The 5,286-nt window shown below is 41.8% G+C and overlaps 2 annotated features.

Annotated features, from left to right (window-relative positions):
- Positions 650-1,149: an enhancer, noted in NCBI's record as "NANOG-H3K4me1 hESC enhancer chr16:64649697-64650196 (GRCh37/hg19 assembly coordinates)". NCBI's record gives its function as "activates a minimal SCP1, AML or CMV promoter by ChIP-STARR-seq in naive H9 embryonic stem cells {active_cell/tissue: H9 hESC(naive)}" and the evidence as "EXISTENCE:reporter gene assay evidence [ECO:0000049][PMID:30033119]".
- Positions 1,150-1,651: an enhancer, noted in NCBI's record as "NANOG-H3K4me1 hESC enhancer chr16:64649195-64649696 (GRCh37/hg19 assembly coordinates)". NCBI's record gives its function as "activates a minimal SCP1, AML or CMV promoter by ChIP-STARR-seq in primed H9 embryonic stem cells {active_cell/tissue: H9 hESC(primed)}" and the evidence as "EXISTENCE:reporter gene assay evidence [ECO:0000049][PMID:30033119]".

The following is a 5,286-nucleotide window of genomic DNA, read 5'->3' as shown; positions in this document are numbered from 1 at the left end:
TTCAAACATTTTACCTCCTTCAAGTATTGCCCCAAATTAAAATGTCACCTTCTTCATGAGGTAATATTTTAAAAGCCTATTAAAAATGGCTGACAATCTCTACCTTCACTTACATCATGACCAAAGCCTGCATTACCTTTCTATTTTTCCATACAGTGTTTATCATGTCCTAATATATAGCTTTCTTATTTTTGTGTTTATGTCTATACTTGCTGTTTTCCTTTGTTAGAATGCAAGCACCTCAAGGACAGGAATTATTGTGTTTTTTTCAATGATGTATCCTAAGCACTTAGAACAATGCCTGTTCTAAGATAGTACTCAAATATTTGTTCCATAGATGAAGTGGGCACGATTCTTTATCTCTGTACATTTAACCATCCATAAACTGGTTTACCCCTTAACAGAGTTAAGTTGAATAAAGTATTCTGAAAACATCAATCTGATTACATTCAGATAATGAGGATACCACCATAATCAACCATAATCATTCATTCTTATGGAATATGTGAAAAAGGAGTACTAATTGGAGCACATTTTCTGAAGTGGGCTTTGTCTTGAGCTAGCAACATAGACATGAACCACTTTTTCCCCAGCTGGATCCTACCTTCAACCTCCATAAAAAGGAGATATCTGGGGGGCAGGGCCAAGGTGGCTGACTAGAAGCAGCTGTATTCTGAGGCTCCTATTGAAGAAAAAACAAACAAACAAACAAACAACCACATAATAAGCATGTGAATCCTTCACCGACAATCAAGGTATCCAGGTTCTCTCATTAAAATTGACTAGAAGGCTGGCCTGACTCCCGGAGAGAAGGAAGAACAGTGTGGTGCCACAGCCCACCTGACAGCCACACGGGGAAGGGAAACCTCCCCTCTCCAGCCAGGGAGGCAGTGAGTGAGCGTGCTACCCAGCTGGGGACACTGCTTTTTCCAAGGAACTATGCAACCCATGGATTGGAAGATCCTACTCATGAACCCAAGCTACTGGGGCCTAGCACCCCAACCCTGGAACATACAGATTCTTACAGCCTCTCAGCTGCAATCTGCTTAAGCCTGCCAAACTCCTGCGGGGAGAGGCAAGCAGCACCAGCTGTGGCTGCCTGCTGTCTAAGCTGTTTGAGCTTCTTGGGGGAGGGGCAGCAGCCAGCACTGCCACTGGCAACTGCCAACATGCTAAACTCCCTGGGTGGGGGAAGGGTGGCAACTCATTTCGATAGCTCCAGGCTATGCTTTTCCCTTGCTGGAGCCAAGGAGGCTGGACAGCTTAGTCCCAAGGCTTGTCCCCACAGCCCATCATACTGGCTGTGGCAGACTGCTGCCAGAGTGCCTTTTCAGGCCTAAACCTGACCCATCCTTCCTCACTCGGCGGGCCTTCCCTGCAGGATCTCCAGTAACTCTAGCCAGAGGCTCAGGTACAGAATTCGGATCTCCCTGGGCCTGAGACCCTAGGGGGAGGGGTGGCCACAGTCTCTGTGGGCCAGCAGACTTACCCTCTCCTCCTGGAAGTTCTGAGAAATCCAGGGAGCCCAGACAAGTGGGTTTCCCCTTAGTGAAGCACACTATCTCCACCAAGGGACAAAGTGCTTCCTTTGTCCACCAAGGGACGAAGTGCTCCCTGTGCCACCCAACTGGGTGAGACTCTCCAACAGGGGTTGTCAGACACCCTATATAGGAGTGATCCTACTGGCATCAGTTTGGTGCCTCTTGAGGACAGAGGCTCCAGAAGAAGGAGCAGGCACCCATTTTTGCTATTTTCTAGCCTCCTTGAGTGATATTTCCAGGCACGGGAGCAAATCAGATGAATAGGGCCTGAAATGAACCCCCAGCAAACTGCAGCAGCTCTACAGAAGAGGGAGCTTACTATTGAAAGAAACAAACAAACAAGCAGAAAGTGACAAGAATATCAACAACAACAAAAAAGTCCCCCACAAAAACCCGATGCAAGTGTCAGCAGCCTCAAAGACCAAAACTAGACGAACTCATGAAGATGAGAAAGAATAAACAAAAAATGTGGAAAACCCAAAAGGCCAGAGTGCCTCTTCTCCTTTAAATGATTGCAATATCTCTCCATCTAGGGCATGCAAGTGGACGGAGGATCAGATGGACAAATTGGCAGAAGTAGGCTTCAGAAGATGGATAATAAAAAACAACCCTGAGCTAAAGGTGCATGTTCTAACCCAATGCAAAGAAGCTAAGAACCTTGATAAAAGGTTACAGGGATTGCTAACTAGAATAACTAGTTTAGAGAGAAACATAAATGACCTGAAGGAGCTGAATAACACGGCACAAGAACTTCGTGAAGCATACACGAGTATCAACAGCCAAATCGACCAAGCGCAAGAAAGGATATCAGAGTTTGAAGACCACCTTACTGAAATAAGACACGTAGACAAGAATAGAGAAAAAAGAATGAAAAGGAATGAACAAAGCCTCCAAGAAATATGGGACTTTATAAAAAGACCGAACCTATGATTGATGGGAATACCAGAAGGAGACAGGGAGAACTGAAACAAGCTGGAAAACACACTTTAGAATATTATCCAGGAGAACTTCCCCAACCTAGGAAACACACCAACATGCAAATTCAGGAAATACAGAAAACACCGTTAAGAAACTCCATGAGCACTCTGGGAGGCTGAGGCGGGCGGATCATGAGATCAGGAGATCGAGACCATCCTGGCTAACACGGTGAAACCCTGTCTCTACTAAAAACACAAAAAATTAGGCGGGCTTGGTGGTGCGCGCCTGTAGTCCCAGCTACTCGGGAGGCTGAGGCAGGAGAATGGTGTGAACCCGGGAGGTGGAGTTTGCAGTGAGCCAAGACCATGCCACTGCACTCCAGCCTGGGTGACAGAGCAAGACTCCGTCTCAAAAAAAAAAAAAAGATACTCCATGAGAAGATCAACCCCAAGACACATAATCATCAGATTCTCCAAGGTCAAAATGAAGGAAAAACTGTTAAGGGCAGCCGGAGAGAAAGCCCAGGTCACTTACAAAGGAACCCTATTAGACTAATAGCTGATGTCTCAGCAGAAACTCTATAAGCCAGTAAAGACTGGGGGCCAATATTCAACATTCTTAATGAAAAGAATTTTCAACCTGGAATTTCATATCCAGCCAAACTAAGCTTCATAAGCGAAGGAGAAACAAAATTTTTTCCAGATAACAAATGCTGAGGGATTTTGTTACCACCAGCCCTGCCCTGCAAGAGCTCCTGAAAGAAGCACTAAATATGAAAAGGAAAAACTGGTACTAGCCACTGCAAAAACACACCAAAATGTAAAGACTATGAAGAAACTGCATCAACTAATGTGCAAAATAACCAAGTAGTGTCAGGATGGCAGGATCAAATTCACACATAACAATACTAACCTTAAAAGTAAATGGGCTAAATGTCCCAATTAAAAGACACAGATTGGCAAATTGGATGAAGAGTCAAGAACAATTGGTATGCCATATTCAGGAGACCCATCTTACACACAAAGACACACACAGGCTCAAACTAAAGGGATGGAGGAAAATTTACCAAGCAAATGGAAAGCAAAACAAAACAAAACAAACAAACAAACAAACAAAAAATAAACAGGAGTTGCAATCCCGGTCTCTGACAAAACGGACTTTAAACTAACAAAGATAAAAAACAAACAAACGAACAAAAACAAAGAAGGGCACTACATAATGTAATGGTAAAGGGAACAATTCAACAAGAAGAGCTAACTATTCTGACTATATATCCAATAAGGGAGCACCCAGATTCATAAAACAAGTTCTTAGAAAACTACAAAGAGACTTAGATTCCCACACAATAATAGTGGGAGACTTTAACACTCCCTTGTCAGTATTAGACAGATCAATGAGACAGAAAATTAACAAGGATATTCAGGACTTGAACTCAGCTCTGGATCAAGTGGACCTAGCAGATGTCTACAGAACTCTCTACCCCAAATCAACAGAATATACATTCTTCTCCGTGCCACATGGCACATATTCTAAAATTGACCACATGATTGAAAGTAAAACACTCTTTAGCAAATGCAAAAGAACTGAAATCATAACAAACAGTCTCTTAGACCACAGTGCAATCAAATTAGAGCTCAGAGTTAAGAAACTCACTCAAAACCACACAATTTTATGGAAATTGAACAACCTGCCACCGAATGACTCCTGGGTAAATAATGAAGTTAAGGCAGAAATCAAGAAGTTCTTTGAAACCAGTGAGAATAAAGAGACAATGCAGCAGAATCTCTGGGACACAGCTAAAGCAGTGTTAAGAGGGAAATTTATAGCACTAAATGCCCACATCAGAAAGCTAGAACAATCTCAAATTGACATCCTAACATGACAAAAGAGCTAGAGAGGCAAGAGCAAACTAATCCAAAAGGTACCAGGAGACAAGAAATAACTAAGAAGAGAGAAAAAATGAAGGTGGTAGAGACACAAAAACCCTCCAAAAAATCAACGAATCCAGAAGCTGTTTTTCTGAAAAAATTAACAAAATAGATAGACTGTTACCTAGGCTAATAAAGAGAGAAGAATCAAATAGATACAATAAATAATGATAAAGGGGATATCACCACTGACCCCACAGAAATACAAACTACCATCAGAGAATACTATAAACACCTCTACATAAATAAAGTAGAAAACCTAGAAGAAATGGATAAATTCCTGGATGCAAACACCCTACCAAGACTAAAACAGAAAAAAAGTTGAATCCCTGAATAGACCAATAACAAGCTCTGAAATTGAGGCAGTAATTAATAGTCTACCAACCAAAACAAGCCCAAGGTCAGATGGATTCACAGCTGAATTCTACCAGAAATAGAAAGAGGAGCGGGTACCATTCCTTTTGAAACTATTCCAAACAATTGAAAGGAAGGGACTCCTCCCTAACTCATTTTATGAATCCAGCATCACCCTGATACCAAAACCTGGAAGAGACACAACAAAAAAAGAAAACTTCAGACCAGTATCCCTGATGAACATTGATGCAAAAATCCTCAATAAAATACTGCCACACCAAATCCAGCAGCACATCAAAAAACTTATCCATCATGATCCCTGCGATGCAAGCCTGGTTCAACATATGGAAATCAATAAACGTAATCCATCACATAAACAGAACCAAAGACAAAAACCACATGATTATCTCAATAGATGCAGAAAAGGCCTTGAATAAAATTCAACATTCTTTCATGTTAAAAACTCTCAATAAACTAGGTATTGATGGAACATATCTCAAAATAATAAGAGCTATTCATGACAAACCCACAGCTAATATTATATT

Source organism: Homo sapiens, chromosome 16 (assembly GCF_000001405.40).
Source record: "Homo sapiens chromosome 16, GRCh38.p14 Primary Assembly".
Classification (NCBI taxonomy): Eukaryota; Metazoa; Chordata; class Mammalia; order Primates; family Hominidae; genus Homo; species Homo sapiens.
The sequence above is the reverse complement of the archived record's forward strand: the minus strand, read 5'-3'. Positions and strand labels throughout refer to the sequence as shown.